The sequence below is a fragment of the Homo sapiens genome, chromosome 2, assembly GCF_000001405.40.
Source record: "Homo sapiens chromosome 2, GRCh38.p14 Primary Assembly".
Taxonomy (NCBI): domain Eukaryota; kingdom Metazoa; phylum Chordata; class Mammalia; order Primates; family Hominidae; genus Homo; species Homo sapiens.
In genome coordinates, this window is record NC_000002.12 from 216,508,295 (window position 1) to 216,529,956 (window position 21,662).

General features: G+C 42.4%; 1 long non-coding RNA gene across 1 annotated transcript, besides 1 other annotated feature; it reads left to right on the forward strand.

Annotated features, from left to right (window-relative positions):
• Positions 1-10,839: 10,839 nt before the first annotated feature.
• On the forward strand, positions 10,840-21,289 carry LOC101928156 (uncharacterized). The gene is made up of 3 exons (XR_923872.3): positions 10,840-11,096; positions 12,420-12,480; positions 20,976-21,289. It is a non-coding gene; the product is annotated as an uncharacterized LOC101928156 (long non-coding RNA).
• Positions 17,587-18,479: an enhancer, noted in NCBI's record as "H3K27ac-H3K4me1 hESC enhancer chr2:217390604-217391496 (GRCh37/hg19 assembly coordinates)". NCBI's record gives its function as "activates a minimal SCP1, AML or CMV promoter by ChIP-STARR-seq in naive H9 embryonic stem cells {active_cell/tissue: H9 hESC(naive)}" and the evidence as "EXISTENCE:reporter gene assay evidence [ECO:0000049][PMID:30033119]".
• Positions 21,290-21,662: the final 373 nt, after the last annotated feature.

Sequence of the window (21,662 nt, forward strand, 5' to 3'; positions counted from 1 at the left end):
TCATTCTGATAATCTGGGTCATTCTGGGCTTGGCTTGCTCTTGCATCTGTGGTCAGCTGTTAGGTCAGTGGGGAACTGATTGGTCTAGCATGGCCTCACTCATATTTGGCTGATGGGTGGCATTTGGAGCAGTAAGTGTGCCTGGGTCATGTGTCTGTCAGCAGCTATCCTGGGTTGGCTCACAGGGCAGTGGCAGGGTAATTGAAGCTCACACATCATTACTTGTGCAGTATAGTACAAAGAAGTCAGTCTCAAGGCGAATCCAGATTTAAGGAGTAAGAAGATATACTCTATTTCTTGATGCAACAAGCTACAAATTACAAAGCATGTAGATACAGAATTATGGCCATTTTTGCAATCTACTCCCCATAATAGAGTCTGGGATAAAATGGGTCCTCTGTTATTTTATGATTTAATAAATGACAGTACTAGAAAGGAGATTTTAAATGTCCTGAAAAGGTCTGACCATTTTGTGGTCCCCATATCCTATTACAATTTACTTTTTTGGTGATTAATTTAGATGGGCTCTCACTCACCCAGGTTGGAGTGCAGCGGCATGATCTGGGCTCACAGCAACCTCTGCCTCCTAGGCTCGAGCGATCCTCCCACCTCAGCCTCCTGAGTAACTGAGACTATAGGCAGGTGCCACCATGCCCAGCTAATTTTTTTGTATTTTTTGTAGGGATGGGGTCTTGCCAGGTTGCCCAGGCTGATCTTGAACTCCTGGGCTCAAGTGATACACCTACCTTGGCCTCCTAAAGTACTGAGATTACAGGCATGAGCCACTGCCCCCAGCCTACTTATTTTTAAGTATTTGTAAAACTTTTATTATAATGTCTTAGGCATTCAGAGGAAGCACAATTGCTGGTACTACTGAAAGGGGTATGTTGAGCCATCTGTGTCATATTCCAACTTTTGTCTTGGCTCATTTCAATTTTATGGTCACAAGAATGTAAACTACTGTCTCTCCTCATTTTGCCTGTTACCTGGTAAATGTTTAGTGACTTGTTCATGTTCTCCGTTTAGTAACATCATACATCCTATTTCTGTTAGCTAGTCTTGATACTTTTCTGATGATCAGATTACCTACTCCTTTTGATACATGAAGTTTTGCGTATCCTTGGGCCAATCAACTCTCCATATTTTGCAGAATTGTGAGGATAGTCATTACCAGTCTCTGATTGAGAAGCAGCTTACAAAGGTATCGCATCTTGGTATGGTAGCTAATTGGGAATTTGGGTTGATTAGTGAAGGGATGAATGCTTTTTTGGTTCCACATGTGATACTTAGGGGCATCTTTGGAATTGCATGTAAGGAAAGAGGGGCATGTAGAATGCATTAGAGATTCCATCATAATCATGTCTGGGCGTGGTGGCTCACACCTGTAATCCCAGCACTTTGGGAGGCCAAGGCGGGTGGATCACCTGAGGTCAGGAGTTTGTGACCAGCCTGACCAACATGGTGAAATCCTGTCTCTACTAAAAAATTACAATATTTACCCGGGCGTGGTGGCACGTGCCTGTAATCCCAGCTGCTCAGGAGGCTGAGGCAGGAGGTGGAGGTTTCAGTGAGCTGAGATCGCTTCATTGCACTGCAGCCTGGGCGACGGAGTGAGACTCTGTCTTAAAAAAAAATAAAAACTACTGTCATCTACAGCCTTTGGTACTCTTGTTTCTCATAACTGAACACTCTCAATATGCTCAGTTGATTGGACCCGGGATGGACAACTGATAGAGTAAATGGAACCAATCAATTATCTTTAGAGAATTTGGATCAAATGACACAGCAGCTGAGTTAAACTAAGGCAGAGCATTAAGCTTTGGGAAAAGCTCATGACTCCTGCTGCCAGGATCACAACACTGCCCCAATTCCCAGCCAGAGTGTTTGGTTGCATGCAATAAAGACTGACTGCAGGTAACTAAAGCAGAAAAAGTATTTATTGGAGGGTAATAGAGTGCTTCACAGGATTGAAAAAAACCTAAAGAATCAGGTTTATAAGGGGAATAAAATAGGACGTTCTCACAGATATCAAAGGGAGGAGTGAAAGAAGAATCCCCAGTAGGGAGCTGAGCTTCTGGTCTGTTTTATGTCTTGACACTATTCAGAAGTCAAAAACCTGAACAGAAGAGTCCAGTGGCCTAGTTGGGGGCCATACTTCTGGCCCTTGGCACCTTAGTTGGCGGTCCCACCAAGACTACAGATAACATAGGAGAGATAAATCTCTAATAGGAAATTAGAGATTATCCATAATTTTAGGAGGGCAAATGTTCTTCACATCAAGCTTGAATTACCATTTAGGTTGTATTTGTACTACTTACTCTTTTATAAACCATCTAATTATAAGGTAATGCCCCTTGGATTTTGTCCCTCAACTGATGGAAGAACACTACAACAGAGCCACAAGTATACAAGTTGGGGGGCAAAGTCCCCCCAACTCTTCCCCATGGGGACCTGAGACCACTCACTGTGGTCAGAGTAGGAGCTTTTGGAGGTCAGATGGCAGATGATGTCTTGGATTGAATATCTCACAGTGGATAATGTGGAATGGTGGCTCCATCCTTTGTTTTTTACCCTATTTCCAGAATGGTGAAACTCCTTTATTTGACCCATGGCCCATGGAGGGAGGGCTGTTAGGGTTGGAAAATCAAGTGCAAACCTCTAGGGTTGCCTCTCCTACACACAGTAAAACAAAAGGAATCCCTGGGTGAATCACAGATAAATGGCTTATCCAAACATCTGAAATTTTCATGAATAATGATCTTATGATCATAACTAACCTCAGCTATGATTCTGGGTATAAATCTATATTGGAGGAAATCAACATATCTTCTGGCCATGACATACTGCTCCTATTAACCTAACAAATGTATTTTTTCCTTTCATCCCTATCTGCAAAGTAGTCAAAACTAGTTTATCTTCACTTGCAGGGACAGCAGTATACTTTCACTGTTTTACTTCAGGGCTATCAACTCATATACTCATATACAACTCATATGTTATTGATGTTAACGTAATGGTGTTACTGTTATTTTTAAATGAATTGGTAAACAAATGTTTTTTTTTAAAATTCCCAGTATTAATTCCTTTTTGTGTTTTTGAGACAGAGTTTCACTCTGTGCCCAGGCTGGAGTGCAATGGTGCGATCTCGGCTCTGCAACCTCTGCCTCCTGGGTTCAAGCAATTCTATTGCCTCGGCTTCCTGAGTAGCTGGGATTACAGGCATGCACCACCATGCCCGACTAATTTTTTTGTATTTTTAGTAGAGACAGGGTTTCACCATGTGGACCAGGCTGGTCTCAAACTCCTGACCTCAGGTGATCTGCCTGCCTCAGCCTCCCAAAGTGCTGGGATTACAGGCATGAGCCACTGTGCCCGGCATCATATACTATTATAATATAATCCAGAAAGATCTTGATCATTTTGGTGTCTTAGGGAAGATACTGATCCATTACACTGATGACGTAACAAGTGGACCTAAAGAGATCAGGAAGTGTTGAGAATGATATACCCAGTACGATATGAATATGGTGTTTAGGTTATCTTGGGGATTTCCTACCTGAAGTGATAGACAAGTTGCTGCACTGTAGACTATTCCCAACTAAGAGACATAATCTTTACTGGGTCCGTTTGGATTGAGGGGGATGGTTGCAAAGTAAGTCACATTGAGTGTGCTTCTCTGTCCCATTTACTGAGTAACCTGTAAGACTTGAGTGGAGTCTGTCAGAGTTTTCAGTAGAGCCTGGAGAAAAAACAGACTTGGCAGCAGATCCAAGTTGTAGTCCCAAGTTGTTCTGGCACTTGGTCTGTATGACCTAGCAAATCTAAGTAGATTCGAGGTGTTAGTGGCAGATAGAGATGTCCTATGATGCTGCAAAAGAAAAATTGTAGTGCACTAGGGATTTGAAATTAATGACCTCTTCTGCTGACATCTGTTATCTATTTAAAAATTAGGTCTGGTTTGCTACTAGACCCTGGTAGAATACCTGAGCATGGAACATCACGTTTCTTTGCAACTGAATCTGTTTATTATAAACTTGATGTTATCTGATCTATAAAATTATAAAATTAGATGTGTGCAACAGCATTCCATTCCAAAATGGAAATGGTTTATACAAAATTGTACCAGAGAATATCCAGAAAATACAAGTATGCTGTTTTAAGCATGAAGCTTAGATTCCCATGGACTCTTAGATTCCCATGGAATATATTTAGGTGTATTCTCCTACTGCCTCACTGTTTCTCCTGGAATCAGTTGTCTTCTTGGGGAGTTTGTTATGTCAGCTAATGGAAGAGGGAAAAGTGCATCATGGATAGAACTACATCCTGTACTGGCATCAGCTGAAAGCGGACAGAGGTAGAGGGAGGACAGTGGTAAAGGGAAGTCCTCCCAGTGGGCAGAACTTAAGATAGTATCCCCTTTGCATGCAAGAAGAGATGGTCTGAAGTAGAGACTTATATTGATTGATGAGCAGGCAGAAAAGGGTGGTGTCTCCAGATACTCACATTACCTTGAAATGGCTAATGGGTTCGTACAAGCTGGCCAGAGATTTGGAAGGAACAAGAATGGAAGGCTGGATACTTCTTCAAGGTTGAACACAAGGATGTTTCAAGCATAGATATGTGGATAGAACTGCAACAAAAGAGGCCTATGCTGAGCAGCTAATGTGACACTATTCCCTAAGTGTACATTAGATGTCTCCCATCATGCAAAGGGCAGCAGTTTGTCATCCCAGGGATAGACATGTATTATGGGTATGGAGTTGTCTCTTGCCTACAGTGTATCTGCCAGCATTACCATTCATGGGCTTGCAGAATGCCTTATCCATCAGTGTGATATCCCATACCATATAGAGTTTAAGGTACTGTCCTACAAGATGTAGTTTATACCTTAAATCTATCAGTATATAGTGCTACCTCTTCCATAGCCAGAATGGATAGGTCAAGAAATCAAGTGATGGAGGTGGAACTTACTACATTGAAAATTCTGCCAGTTAACCCACTGAAAGCATTTTTATTTCCCCCGCTTTTGACCTGCTTTTGAGTTTGGTGACTTTGGAGGTCCTAGTTCCTAAGGAAGTAATGTTTCTCTCAGGGAATTCAACCTTGGTTCCATTTAAATTGAAATCTTGAGTCAGTTCTCTGATCACTTTGAGCTCATTCTACTGCTGAACCAGCAGGCAGAAAAGGTGGTCTCTCCAGATTATCACCTTTACCATCCAATAATTTCAGCTCTGTGCTTCAGATACCTTGCCATATCAAAAGAAAATATCCAGAAAGAAGCACCAAAAAAGGAAAAGAACAAATACGTGTACAAGACATAGGAGCTAGTTAAGAGTTCTTTTCTTTTTAGAGACAGTCTCCTCTGTTGCCCAGGCAAGAGTACAGTGACACAATCATAGCTCAATGCAGCCTGGGACTCCTGGGCTCAAGTGGTCTTCTGGCCTCAGCCCCCCGAGTAGCTAGGCCAGAAGCTACTGTGTGTTATGCCCGGCTTATTGTTATTATTATTAGTAGTAATAGTAGTAGAGATTGGATCTTGCCATGTTGCCCGGGCTGGTTTCTTGCTATATTGCCCAGGCTGGTTTCAAATTCCTGGCCTAAAGCGATCCTCCTCAGCCTCCCAAAGTGCCGGGATTACAGGTGTGAGCCACCATGCCTGGCCTCAGTTATAGTATATAATTGGAGTCCCACAGGAGAAAGGAGAGATGATAATGGCTTTTTTTCCCCCAAAACCAATGAAAGATACCAAGCCACAGTTTAAAGTATCCCTGTAAACTTACACAAAATAAAAATTTAAAAGTTACACCTAAGAATGTCATAGTATTACTGAATCCCAGAGAAAAAGAGCATAATAAAAGCAGCTAGTAGCAAAAAAGGTGTAACACTAACAGTTAACTTCTTAACAACCATAGAATCTAGAAGAAAATAGAGTTATACTTTGAAAGTGCTTCAAGTTCTGTACTCAGCAATTATAACATCAGAATATGAAGGTGAAACAAAGACAGTTACCTCTGCCACCACCACCAATAAAATACTGACGGAATTGATCACTAGCACACCCACACATCACACAGAAGGCAAATAATCCATGGATGAGACTTGAAGGAAGGAGTGGCAGTCAACAAACGGGAACTATGTCAGTAAATACAAGTGAATTTAGACCACATGAATAGTAGCAGCAACAACTTTGGGGAGTGAAACGAAAATGTATTACAGCAGCATATAAATTGGGAAAGGGTAAATAGTGTTAAAATATTCGAAGGTTCTTGCATTGTTCTGGAAGAAGTCAAACTACAAAGTTAGTATATGTTGCAATCTCTGATAATCATGAAAAGAATAGAAAGTAATATATAACAATACAATGGAAATAGAATTGAAAAACAGAGGAGAGAGAAAAAGAATTTGTAAGACAAGTAGTACCTAGTAAGGTAGATTTAAACGTACCTGTGCACACATGTATATACATACACACACACACATATATATATAGGCACATTTATATATATTTATATCTAAATTTATACATTTGTAATATATATAATATAGTACATATTACATGTGTATTACAATATTACATATTGTATGTAACATATGCCTGTGTACACATGTATATATACACACGTATATAATATACATATTATATATATAAATGTGCCAGTAATAACTTTGCATACAAATAGACTAAGTGTGTCAATTAAAGATATAGTCAAATTGGATTACATACCCAAAGTATAAGGATTAAAGAAAAACCTAAAGCACAAGGAATCAGATATAAAAATAAAATATAAGGAAACAGACTCACCAAAGTTATAAAGATACCGAAAGAGTGAAAGTAAAAGGATGGAAAAAGATATAACAGGCATTTAAGAAATAATGATCCATGAAATGAAAGCTGTGTTAATATCTGACAATGTGGACTTAAAGGCAAAAAAGCATTACTAGAGACAAAGAAGGACATATATATTGTTAAACATATGGAAAACGTGCATGATTTTTCAGCAATTCTGGGGCATTGATATGAAACACTAGATAAGTAGGTGGCAATGGCTCTGAAAATATTCTTGAGGTGCAAATTGAACAATTAATTGAAGAACTTAGAGAAACACTGACTAGAGAAAATCAAGGGGCTGGCTATGGTGGCTCACACCTGTAATCCCAGCACTTTGAGAGGCGGAGGTGGGCAGATTGCTTGAGCCCAGGAGTTCAAAACCAGCTTGGGCAACATGGCGAAACCCTGTCTGTACAAAAAATAGAAAAATTAACCAGGTGTGCTGGCATGCGCCTGTGGTCCCAGCTACTTGGGAGGCTGAGGTGGGAGAATGGCTTGAGCCCATGAGGCAAAGGTTGGAGTGAGCTGAGCCGAGATTGCACCACTGCACTCCAGCCTGGGCGACAGAGCCAGATCCTATCTGAAAAAAAAAAAAAAAAAAAAAAAAAAAAAAAAAAAAGCAATGGCAATGAACAAGACGACCCAGCAAGTTGGAATCATCATAAGCTGGAAAACGTGAATTTGTTAATTTCTAAATAATAGAAATCTCTATCAAGCAAAACTTAAAATGTTAAGAAATGTTTCAGCACTCAAGAGGTAGCAGTAATAGATGCTAACCATCTTTTTTTTTTTTTTTTGAGATGGAGTCTTGCTCTGTCGCCCAGGCTGGAGTGCAGTGGCATGATCTCGGCTCACTATAATGTTTGCCTCCCGGGTTCAAGTGATTCTCCTGTCTCAGCCTCTCAGTTACAGGAGATTACAGGCGTGCACCACTATACCCAGCTAATTTTTTTTTGTTGTTGTATTTTTAGTAGAGATGAGGTTTCATCATGTTGGTCAGGCTGGTCTTGAACTCCTGACCTCAAGTGATCCATCTGCCTTGGCCTCCCAAAGTGCTGGTATTACAGGCATGAGCCACCACGCCTGTCCAATGCTCATCTTTTTTTAAAAAAATAGACTTTTCACACTGTACAAGAACCAACACCTTTGTGATTTGTTTTCTGTTCCTGAAGCCTGCCTGTTCCATTTTGTTTCCTGAGCTGGCATTAAACATTGATGTATTCCTTAAAATGTCTCTTCTGTTTTTGAAACAGGGCTTTGCTCTGTTGCCCAGGCTGGAGTGCAGTGGCATGATCACGGCTTATTGCAGTCTCAAACTCCTGGTCTCAAGTGATCCTCCTGCCTTGGCTTTCTGAGTAACTGGGACTACAGGCATGCACCAACATACCTGGCTAATTTTTTTATTTTTAGTAGAGACAAAGTCTCACTATGATTCCCAAGCTGGTCTCAAACTCCTGAGCTTAAGCGATCCTCCTGCCTCAGCCTTCCAAAGTGCTGGGATTACAGACATGAGCTACCGTGCCTGGCTATTCATAACAATGTCAAGAGGGAAATACAATCGTTACTGTTGCATGTATATCACCATATTCACTATTTGTTTTGTGTACTGACGTAGGTGTCACAGTATAGTCAATAGGTCCTCTAGTTTTTGAAGATTTACATAGTGCACTTTAGCCTTGGAACTTAGTTCATTTTCATACATTTTTGGGGAACCTAATCTGTAAACCAAGAAAGTACTTATCTGCAGATACTCATTCCTTCAACAAAGTGGAGAAATTTGTCAACATGTATTGGCTGTAAGCATCATATATAACACTAGGGGGTGATAGAACATAGCCAGAGGAAGGAAAATAGCCTGGCAAGAATTAAATGTAAGGTTTGGAAGATCCATCTTGAGGGCATATATAAAATGGATACGAGCCTGTGTAAAATTACAGTTTAGTAAATACCAAGTTCTTTTTAAATTAACATAATATGACCAAGCTTTTAAAAAAAGACCAAAAGGAGTTAATAAGTATAGGTCTTCTGGGACAAACCACCCACAAATACATAATGAAGATGAACTTGGGTATATTTTCTATGATCTGCTCATTAGAAAAGTTGAATTTAGTGTTTTTATTTTGTTGATTATATTAAAAATTATCAGATACAAAAGCAAAACTTCAGTGATAATATATCATTAAAGTATATTTCATTGACTAAGACTTTATCAGGTGTTTCTTAAATTACAGTGTTTAGGTCTCTGGCCTCATTTTCAGGGTCTTCAAGAATTTTTTTCCTTTAAAAAGGAAAACTGGCATAGGAGGACAGTATTAAATACACCATCGTAAACACTGGACTTTGTAGTTGAGTAGACCAATGAAGACATGAACTGACGAGGGAAGCTAAGTGAGAGCCCAGACCCTGGCAAGTGGGTCAAAAGGTTACACTGATGGAGGGAGACACCCTGACAGCACTGCCACAGGGCAGAGCCAATGGGATGCTCAGTGGAAGCATAACTTGGAAACTTGGAGGGGAGCCAGGAGGAGAGGCATTCCTTTCTGTCAAGTGGGCACTCTTAAGGTGCATGCCTCACCTTCACACCTTCACACATGAAATGATGTAATTTGTTAAGGGTGAAGACCAATATTATAGGGGTGATTGGCTCTTCTCTTTCCTGATGTTCTTCTGAAAGTCTTTTGCACACTTCTCCCCAAAATAACTATTCTTTCAACTCAAGGCTGTTCTGCTTATATGCTTCTCTTCTTTGGTCTCTAAGTCATGATTAGCATTGGGAGGGCTTTATCAGGAATACCTAACACATGCACCTTGCTGTGAGCCAGGCTGCATTCCAAGGACTTGAACTATATAAACTCATTTAATCCTCATGACAGCTCTGCCCTGGGTATTGTGGGACCGTATTTTACAAAGCTCTTAATGACTTGACCCCTGCTTGCCTTGCCAGCTGCATCTATTGTCAGGTCCTGTTTCCACTCTAAGCACCAGCAGTACTGAACTTCTTTGAGTTACTTGAACAAACCATGCCTGAATACTGTAGCTAGTATTTATCGTACTCTTTCTGTTGGCAAGTGTGTCTCCCCCTGCACTGTCTCCCCTTCTCTTTTCCTCAAACTCATGGATTAATATTATTGTTTCCCCCATTTTACAGATGAGGAAAAGAAGCTTAGATAAGTTAAATGTCATGTCTAGATTATACACTTCAGAGAGGGATAATAATGTGGGGAAAGGATGAGCTTTGGACCTAGAAGTTATGTTATCCAACTTCAGCTCTGCCATTTACTCGCTTAAACCTCAGAGAGGACAGGTGTGGTGGCTCACGCCTGTAATCCCAGCAATTTGGGAGGCTGAGGCAGGGGGATCACAAGGTCAGGAGTTCGAGACCAGCCTGATCAACATGGTGAAACCCCGTCTCTACTAAAAATACAAAAATTAGCTGGGCGTGGTGGTGCGTGCCTGTAATCCCAGCTACTCAGGAAGCTGAGGCAGGAGAATCGCTTGAACCCGGGAGGCAGAGTTTGCAGTGAGCCGATACCACGCCATTGCACTCCAGCCTGGACAACAGAGCAAGACTCTGTCTCAAAAACAAACAAAAAACCTCAGAGAGTATAAGAAACAGATGCAGAGTGGCATATTGCGACAGATTTTGGTGATTGGGAGGGCCAACCCAGGCATGAGACAAAGGGATAAAATTAAGGGAAGAACAACAGAATGGAAAGGAAAGAATGTTTTCTCTTTTGTCTTTTACTTTATTTATTTATTTATTTATTTATTTATTTATTTATTTATTTATTTATTTTTTGAGACAGAGCCTTGCTCTGTTTCCCAGGCTGGAGTGAAGCGGTGTGATCATGGCTCACCACAGCCTCAACTTCCTGGGCTCAAACGATCCTCCTGCCTCAGCCCTCCTGAGTAGCTGAGACAATAGGCATATACCACCACACTCGGCTGTTTTATAATTTTTTATTTTTTAGTAGAGACAAGGTCTTACTCTTTCCCAGTCTGGTCTCGAATTCCTGATCTCAGGTGATCCTCCACCTTGGTCCCTGAAAGTGTTGGGATTATGGGCATGAGCCACTTTGCCCAGCCTGGAAAGAATGTTTTTGAAAGATGATGTTAATAAAGAACAAACAGGATTCCACTGATTAAATTAGGACATGTGCACATTCTGTGCCCCAAACAGGAGTATGAGTGTGTCACTTTCTATATAGGAAAATGAGTGCAGAGAATGGACAGCAGAGGGAGCCCTTGATGAGTTTTGACCATCAAGGTAAGAAGACGGAGGGAGTGACATTTTCCCTGGTGCTCTCAGACCATGAGCTTATTTCTCCCCACTCTATCTTTACTTCTTTACAATAATGGTTGTATATTATTTCCTAACAGAAGTGGCCATGATGTGCTAGCAATTATGCCTGTCCTCACAATTCTCTGTGAGCGTGCTGCTCTATTCCTTCCTCTTCACAATATGAAGAAAGTAAGGCTCAGAGAACTGCCCCAAGTTGAGTTACACAACTGGTACATAATTGAGTCAGGATTCCAATTCTTAGGGCTCTGGGATTCTAAGTGAATCCTCATGCCAAAGTCACTGTTCTGTGCCCTCACATCTATGGTCGTTTTCCCCCCTCTGCAAATGCAAAGGGGGTTAGAAAGACACTCTCAGAGTAACATAGTAGGTTCATTTTAGCAGGGACATTTCAGAAACACAATGTATTAACTCAAGGGAGGTACCCCACACCCAGCAGGCTTGTGGGAAAAGAAATGTGGAGGCTGGTGGCAATGGCAGTATCCAGGATGTGGATATGGGGGCTTTAAAATACCCCCATAATTTCCATTTACCACCACCCCTACCTGGTCTCTTATAAAAAACTGACATTATCTGAATTTTATGTCAAAAGCTTTGCAAATACAGCTTCAAAACCCTTCCTGGCTGCCACCTCCCAACCTTCCCTAAGCTCCACTGTGGCTGGCCTTTCCTGGCAGCACTCAGCCTCCCTCTGGTGAGTGATGGTGGGTTGGGCCAGGCTGTATGTGCTTAGAGACCCTCAAATTGAAGGAGCTCCAATTCCACATCCATAGTTGCCACAAAATAAAGACTCCTGTCTTCTCTCCTTTTTCTGGGACCCCCACTGCGTAGCTCGGCATGGGTCCAAGTCTTCAGGGGGGGCTCAGCAAAGACTTGGTGACAGGCTGATTGATGGATTCTCGCCTTGCCTGCCCTCTCGCCCACTCCTGCAGGCTCTGGCCCTGGTCCACTGTCCAGCTGCCTAAGGGGTCTGCTTTTCTTTGTTGAGTCAGCACCAATGAGTCAGGGCCAAAATCAGCTGCAGGGAGTGGGGAGTACTGCAGGAAATTGTGGGGTTGGAGTAAGAATTTAGTGGCCCTAAAGGAAGGTATAGCCAGGAGCATCTGAAGGGATGGCACTGGGGGAGGTGGTCAGAGGAGGACCCTCTCTGACCTGCTGATGTTGTTGACCATTGGCTCTTGATGGAGCACTTTCCTGTAGTAAAACACAAGAGCTTACTCAAGTCATTGCCTAGGGCCCTAAAAAAAACCCCAGTCTTGTGTCTTTTGTGCTTCAACTCTACTCTTCTAGAGATGCCAAAATGGAACCAAATCTCCATGAACTCTGCTAATGGAAGACGAGGAAAAGGCAGGTAAGTGAAATTCTCAGATACATCCCAACAGCAGTTCAACACTGTCCTTTTGCTGGAGCTGCTGAGTTTTCATCCTCAGTGGCTGATGGCATCGGCTGCCCTCCTTCTGTATTTGCTCATCCACAGGTTGTACACACTAGTAGTGTGGACAGGAGGAGAGTTGGATATTGCTGGAAGGTAGGTAAAGCTGGGCTCATGATGTGGCTCTATACTCAGATTTGCAGGCCATGGTCCCAGGGAATTTTGTTCATTTTATCCTACTAAGCCTCACAACAGGAGCCCGTCAGCCCCCTAAGACAGGAGCAAGGAACAATAATGGTCCCAGGAATGGAAGTCCTACGCCTTTTATAGAACAGCATTGGTGGAACACACCCAGGCTTCCCATATCCTGTGCCCAGGTAGACCACGCAACAAAGACCATGCAGCCAACAGACCCTCATGCGTCCTTCCATATTATTGCCCTTCTTTTGGTAGACAGAGGCCCAAAATATTTTCAAGGGGACATTCTCATTCTCCTTGGCCCTCTCTTGATGATCTATCTCTTGGGAATGAAGCTCAAGAGTCCAACTTAGCCAGGCACAGTAGCTCATACCTGTAGTCCCAGCTACTTGAGAGGCTGAGGAAGGAGTTGTCTTCACCCCTCAAGAATAGGGCAGTGGTGAAAACAGGTCTTGGTTTAAAAATTGAAGACTAGAGCAATCGTTACCACATGGTGATATCACAGATTCTTGGTGTATCCCAGACAGATGAGGTCTTAGAGATGACCTGGTGCAACACGGAGATTAAGAGGCTGGGCTCTGGTGTCAGGCCATTTGTATTCTATCAGTAATTATTCTTAGTATCTAAGTACTCTTAGTACCCACTGGGTAAGTTTCCTAACCTCTCGAGGCCTCTGTTTCCTGGTCTATAAAATGAGGATAATAATAATACCAACCTCATAGGTTGTTATAAGGATAAAATGAGATAATTTTTCTAAAATGCTTAGCCAGACACATGATAAGCAATCAATTTATGTTTGATATTTTTTATCACTATGTTATCGTCTTCACTTCATAGACATTGAAACTAAGGCCCTAAGAGGTAATGTTTCTTAAAGTCACAAAGGCAAACTAATTGTATATGAACATTTCCACTGATTGGAAATAAGGGGACATAAGCCAGGAAAGGCCAGGTTATGTTTCAGTAATAACTCCCAAATGTCCACTTCCTGCCTACATTCCATGTCCACTGTGGGTCAGCTGTAGGCTCTACTAGGTCCTATTACTGTCCTTGTTTCAGGACCAAGGTAGATGAAGTACACGGCCAGCCCTTTGGAAGTGACTCAGATCACTTCTGCCTACATTTCATGAACAAAGCAAGCCACATAGCTTATGGGAGTTCAACAGTATGGGTAAGCATAATCTTCTTACAGGGAGGTAAACAGATATTGGTGAAGAATAATATAATTTATGACCATCTGCTATCTAAGCAAAGATGATCTTAGTATGAGCTATCCCCTGGCATTAACCAATTGAAACACCTGCCCCAAGATGTCAAAATTGGTATGCGAAACTAGAAGACCCTTCTGCAGCATTAACAGGAACATCTATTGATGCCCACTCCTTGAAAAAATTTCTCAAAATCCCCAAACCATGGACAAAATAAAAACTTCCACTTACTGAATATTAATCACACTGTCATGTGGCTCACCCTAGGATGTCCTTATACCAGAACATCACAGAGGGTTCACCTCCCCTCTCACCTCTTAAAGTGTTTCCAACCTATCTCATCCTATTTCATTCCCTTTTGCATTTCATTCCATTAACATCTGATGGTTTGGTGCTAATTACTGGTCTAGATGGTAGAAACACAAGAGAAGGGGGCACTTATCTTTAAGGAAGGAGGAAAACTTCCCTCCAGTGGGGGGAGACTAATAGTAAAGTCAATACATAGAATATATTGTAAGTGCTGGTATGGGCTGAAGGCTGTGGAACCACAAAGGAGAGTCACTTAATCTAGCCTGGGAATGTCAGAAAAGTTTGGCAGGGGAAAGCTGAGGTTGCTGGAATTTCATTCTTAAGAAGGTGTGAGAATTATGCAACTGGTCATCATCATGATGATGTTGGAGACGAACATTTACATCTTTGTAGAAGCAAGTATTTAGGGTTCCTAGTATTTCTTATTTATTATCGAGCATCTTTTCTGAGTGTTGGGCATTGGCAATGTGCTAGGCAGTTAAATGACACAGTCCATGCCTTTTGGGACTTAAGTAAGCAGAGGGTCTCAAAGAATAGGTCTTTCTTGAAGACCAGAATAAGTCTTAAAGAAAAGGTGAATCTCCCAGGGAGCTTGTTCATAATGCAGACTTGTGGGTTCTACCCTAGATTTTCTGGATGTGGAACCCAGAAATTGACATTTCAAACAAGTGCCTGTGATACTTTGATCATACTTGAAGTTTGAAGGTTACTGCTCAAAAGACAGCCATAATATTGATGCATGTAGAGAGGGCCCAGGGAAAAATGGGTTGAGCTTATTGAACAAAGAAATACATTGGAGTAAAAAATATTTGTGTTACCTGTGAATCAGAGGCCAATGCCCTTTGAAGTGTGGTGTAAAGGTTAGAGAACTTGGCATTTCTTTTGCAAGGCTGCTGTTGACTTCAGTTCAGGACCATCTCTTCAAAACTGCTTTCTTGTGCTAACATGTTTCTTTTTTTTTTTTTTTAATTATGTTGCCTTTTATCTCTTCCAATAAAACAATTTTATGGCAGAATCTGGTACCCACTTTGTGTACAACAGCCAATTAGAGGTAAAGGTGATTAATGAATAAATAAAGGACTAATGACATCTCTCTGTTGGCTTACAGTTTACACATAACTTAGATTGGTCTCCATCTTTTTTTTTTTTAAGAGGGTCTCCCTCTGTTGCTCAGGCTGGAGGGCAGTGGCACAATCATAGCTCACTGCATCCTCAAACTCCTGAGCTTAAGCAATCCTTCTACTCAGCCTCATGAGTAGCTAGGACTACTGATGCATAACATCATGCCTGGCTAGTATTTTAAATTTTTGTAGAGATGGGATCTTGCTATGTTGCCCAGGCTGGTCTTGAACTCTTGGCCTCAAGGAATCCTTCTGCCTTGGTCTCCCAAAATGCTGGGACTATAGTTGTGAGGCACAGCACCCAGCCTGTCTCATTTGATTTACCAATACCATGGGGATAGATGTTCTTATTAGCTTCATTTTTCAGTTGAGGAAACTGGATTTGGAGAGGATAGGCAACCTACCCAAGGTCACGTAAGGTGACTGATAGACTAGCCATGCTGAGATGGGCTTTGTTGAGAACTGTCTTTGGGACTATTCCATCATCTCTAATAACTCTGAATGAGCAATTGGCCTCATTTATACCCAGACTGCCTCTGGCAGAGAATTCACTCCTACGAAAAAGCTCCATGAATCCCACACCTATCACTTCATCCCCCGCCCTTGGATTCTGGCATCCCTTAACACTGTGGTGGTCCAGATGAGTGTGAGGGAGAGAATGCAGAAAAGACCAAACGAAGGGTCAGAAGATGGAGGCCTCCTCTCACTCCCTAAACCCAGCAGGCTGTCTATAGCCCATGAGATGAACTTTAGGAAAACCAAAAAGAAGTTTCTTGTGGTTTGCAGTCCTCTTCATCTCCTCTCAACTGTCCTTCACCTCTGGCCCCTTGCCTAACTTTTAGCTTGGTGTTCTTTCTGTCCCAATGGGACTGTGAACTCTCTCAAAGTGAAAAAATTAGGGAGCTTATGTGTTACACGGGCATATTTTTGCTTTGAACACAAGGCCAATTTTGGGAGCTGTATAACCCTAAGGAACAGATGATTAGGAGGAGAGTCTTGGCTGGGAAGGAATCTCTCTGTTGTCTGTCATTAGGGAGTGTCTTAGTCCATTCAGGCTGCCATAACAAAATATCATAAACTAGGTGCTCATAAACAACAGAAATGTATTTCTTACAGCTCTGGAGGCTGGGAAGTTCAAGAACAAGGCAGATTTGATGCCTAGTGAGGGCCTGTTTTCTGGCTCATAGATGGTGCCTTCTAGCTATGTTCTCACATGATGGAAATGGTCAGCTAGCTCTCTAGGGCCTCTTTTTCTCTTTTTTTTTTTTTTTGGTTTTTTGAGATGGAGTCTCACTCTGTTGCCAGGCTGGAGTGCAATGGCACGATCTTGGCTCACTGCAACCTTCATCTCTTGGATTCAAGCGATTCTCTTGCCTCAGCCTCCTGAGTAGCCGGGACTACAGGCATGCGCCACTCACGCCCAGCTAATTTTTGTATTTTTAGTAGAGACGGGGGTTTCACTATGTTGGCCAGGATGGTCTCGATCTCTTGACCTCGTGATCCGCCCACCTCGGCCTCCCAAAGTGTTGGGATTACAGGCATGAGCCACTGTGCCTGGCTCTAGGGCCTCTTATAAGGGCACTAACTCCATTAATGATGGCTCCATTCTCATGACCTAATTCCCCTCCCGAAGTCCCTACCTCCAAATACCATCACCTTGCAGTTTAGGATTTCAACACAGAAATTTTGCAGGGCCACAAACATTCTGACCATAGCAGGGAGAATTCCAGAGAACTATTTTCAGACCTCTGGTGAAAGGAGGAAAAAAACCAAAGACCCTAGAGAGTCTCCTTCCTTTTCTTTGTTACGTACTTTCTGTGTTAGTTCTTTGTTGTGGTACCAGCAATAGAAGATGGCTTTGGCTTTAGAAAGCTGGGCTAGCATCCCAGCTCCACCAAACACGTGCAGTGACCTTGACAAGTCTCTTTACCCCTGTTAGGCCCATTTGTTCCCCCATTTGTTGAGTGGCTATAGAAAGGCCCACCCTGTCCACCTCTGAGGGTGTCTATGATACTCAAAGGAGAAGCTGTGCAGGGGTGAATTAGTGCAAGCTGCACAGCATGGAAGATTCCTGGGGGACTTGTGCAGAGTCAGAATGGAGGTGTGCAGCCCCTGAGGACAGGTCTTTATGAGTGACAGCCCTGAGTCCAATGGAGGATTTTCACTGGATCATCCTGCCATGAACATGAGCAAGGGTCACCAGCTAAGCTGTCATAGCCGTCAGAAGCTAATAAGGCAGTAGAGGGGACCAGTTCAGAGGGTGGGCTTGAGCCAGACTACCTCGGTCTTCTTGACTCTGGCTCTCCCTAGCTATGTGACTCTGGGAAGACATTTAACTTCTCCAAACCTCAGTTTCCCCGTTTGTAAAATGGAGATAATAACTATCTATCTCAAGAAATTTCTCTGAAAATTAAATAAGACAAGAGTGGAGTGCTTAGCAAAATACGTGACACAAGAAAGAAGTCCATGAGTGTTAGCTGCTGTTTTTGTTACTATATTTGACTGCATGGACTAAGCTGAGGTCAGTGCTTTTCTGGGTGGTCACAGGGCCTGTGCTGGCGGGGCCTGAAAGGCACAGGCTAGGCACTGAGCAAGTGGAAGAATTAATTAAGTTGATAAACCGATGGAATCAATGAATAATGCATTGACACTTGTACATACCATAGACAGGCAAATGCATGTCTGATTGGATTGTTCTGTTTCTGTGTGCTCTCTGTGATGTAGGGGTAGGGCCAGTCACACAAGAGTCCATGTGCTGCCATGTCCTGTAAAACAGACAGAATTAGACCCTGTTTTGCCTCACAGTCCTCTCTCGGGTCCCTCAAGGGAAAGAGGAGTGACTCTGACTGTAAAGCTTTTCATACTGGCCATGTGGCCACTTCCAGTCCTGGAAGTGTATGTATATTCTCAGCACCAAACCCCTACTCCAATGTGCTCCTCCTCCCCCACCTTAATCTTAAATGAAAATGAGGCTGCAGGAAAGCTGCTGTGCTGTTTTATTGAAAACAGGTCCAGTTGGCAACAGCTTGCAGTTCCTGGGCTCAAGTGATGCTCCCCGCTCAGCCTCCAGAGTAGCTGGGACTACAGGTGTGCACCACCATACCTGGCTACTTTTAAAATTTTTTTGTAGAGAAGTGGTCTCACTATGTTACCATGCTGATCTTAAACTCCTAGACTCAAGCAATCCTTCTGCCTTGGCCTCCCAAAGGGCCACTACTCCTGGTCCATGCAAATATTCTTATCTCCAGCTCCCACCTTTCTTTACACAAAAGTTTTGCAGGTTAAATAGATATGGACCTACTTGTTTTACTTAACCATATACCTTGGAGATATTTCCATAGTATTCCATACAGAGCATGTTCATTCTTGGTTTTTACTAGCTACATAGAATTTTTTTCCTTTTGTTTCTTTGTTTTGTCCTCCCTCCCTCCCTCCATCCCTTGCTCCCTCCCTCTCTCTCTTTCTTTCCTCTTGCCCCTTTCCTTTCCTTTCTTTTCTTTTCCTTTCCTTTCCTTTCCTTTCCTTTCCTTTCCTTTCCTCTCCTCTCCTTTCCTTTCCTTTCCTCTCTCTCTCTCTCTCTCTCTCTTTTTCTCTCTTTCTTTCCTCCTCACTTGGTCACCCAGGGTACAGTGCCATGGTGTGATCACAGCTCACTGCACTGCAGCCTCTACCTCCTACACTCAAGCCATCCTCCCACCTCAGCCCGGCCCCCGAGGAGCTGGGACTATAGGATAGGTATGCGCCACCACACCTGGCTAATTTTTTCTCTTTTTTTTAGAGACAGGGTTTCACCACATTGCCCAGGCTGGTCTTGAACTCCTGGGTTCAAGCAAACCAATCCGCCTGCCTCAGCCTCCCAAAGTGCTGGTATTACAGGTGTAGCCACTGTACTCGGCCACAGTTTTCATTGTATGCATCTACCAGAATTTATTTAAACCAGACATTCTATTAATGAATATTTAGGTTTGTTCCTATTATTTTGTTGCACAGTGGGCAGATCTTATGTAAATGTATTCCTAAAGGCTGAGGAAGCTGACAGACCAAAGAGGCTGATAAATCCAGTGTCTCACATTTAATAGGGATTTATGAACAGAAACCATCATCTCAGCAGGAGATAGTAGATCCTGGGCCATTACCCCCCAGACCCAGGGCTTCTATACCCTAGAGAAGGAATGTGTAGGATAATTGAAGTTGGCCCCTTAGGGAAAGGCAAGAATGCTATGTGAATCTGCCTAAGGGCAGGATTTATGGTCAAGGTTGTTTTGATCTAAGTGCAGAATTTATGGTAAGTACATGCTCTTACACAAGGAACAGTAGATAAAATAGAAATCTTAGAGGTATTCCCGGAACTGGGATTAATCAGAAGTCAACATGGTGGATTAGCATGTAAGATGGAGTTGCTTTAACCTGCACATCTTTGCTATTACAAATAGTGCTATTATATATATATAAAATATGATTTATATATGATATATATATAAAAGTGTGAATAATCTTGCTGTTTTCTTTTATGATTTAATTTTTCAGTCTATAAGATTGAACATATGTCATTTTGTTTATACATGTGTTATAGATTGAGTATTTGTGTTCCCCCATCAAATACGCTGAAGCCTTAACTCCCAGTATGACTCTATTGGGAGATAGGGCCCGTGAGGAGGTAATAAAGGTTAAATGAGGGCATAATGGTGAGGCCCTGACCCATTAGGCCTGGTACCCTTATAAGAAAAGCAAGAGACATCAGAGATCTTTCTCTGCCATGTGAGGACACAGTGAGAAAGTGGCTGTCTGTAAGCCAGGAAGACATCCTTTACCAGGAACCAAATCAGCCAGCACCTTCATCTTGAACTTCCTGGCATCCAGAACTATAAGGAATAAATTTATGTTGTTTAAGTCACCCAGTCTTTGGTATTTTGTTATGGCAGCCTGAGCTTACTAGTACAGTAAGCATATCTGAAGGCTAAAATTGCCAGAAATAGAAACATGTAATCACTAGGTCAAGAGGTGAGTGCATTTACAAATTTGATAGGTGTTGCCGAATTACTGAATGAAAGGGATACCCACTTTAATTCCCTTCAGCAGTATACAGTAGTGCATGTTTACCCACAGCTTCACCATCAAGTTGTTTTCAAACTTAGTTTTTTCCCCTAAACTGAAAGGTGAAAGTGATTATTTTATATTCTTAACCTAGTTTATTTACCAAGGAAATAACTCTATTACTATTGTAAATTGAATGCTAGCATATTTTCACATATAGAATGTAACTGTCAGAATAAAAACAAAAAATACTATTAAATTTGTGCTGAATGTTGTTGCCTATAGAAAGGTCTGAGTCTGAGATGTGTTCTTTCTTGTTAAAAAGAGAAATCAGGAAGTTTAAAGGGATGTTAATGACAGGTTGAAACTGAGGCTTCTTGTTGATGTAATCCAACAGTGGAAATCAGTCTGACTGTGGTCCCACACTCTCTTACCTTCTGCCATCCCGCCCAATCTGCTGTTGTGTAGCTGAGGCTATGTTGTGTTAGATAAGCCAAGGGAGCCATCAGCTAGGTGGTTCTACATGCATAACTGCAAAACCAGCCCAATCTGGTTCAACTTTGTGTTATAAAATGGTTACATTTCAGTTACCTCCATGTTGCAGGTAACCTAAGCAAACCCAAATGGACCAAATGCAACGCTGATGGAATCTAAGTGCTCAGACCAAGGAACGGGGACTGAAATAACAGTGGACACCACATGGCATGATCCAATCAGATTGAGCCCTGGAAAGATCATCCCATGGCAAGATCCAGTTAGATTACACTTCCTGGCATCACCTCATTGCAAGATCCAAGATCATGCCTCATTACCTTCTGCCTGTAAAACCTGCCCCAGCCCCCAGCTCCAGGAGACAGATTTGAGCCAGGCTCCTGTCTTTCTCTGCAGCCTTGCAATAAACTTTTCTTTCTACAAAAACCCAGTGCTTTGGTGTTTGGATTTTTTTTTTTTTTTTTAAATACAGGGTCTTGCTCTGTAACCTAGGCAGTGGCACGATCACGGCTCACTGTAGTCTTGAACTCTGGGGCTCAAGCAATCCTCCTGCCTCAGCCTCCCAAGTAGCTGGGACTACAGGTGCATGCCACTGGGCCTGGCTAATTTTAAAAAATTCTTTTGGGAAGACAGAGTCTCACTATGTTGCCCAGGCTGGTCTTGAACTCCACCTTGGTCAGTTCTCTCACCTTGGCCTGCCAAAGTGCTGGGATTACAGGCGTGAGCTACCACGCCCAGCCATGTTTGGCTTTTCATTGCATGCAGTCAAACAGACCCAGTTCAGTTTGGTAACACACAT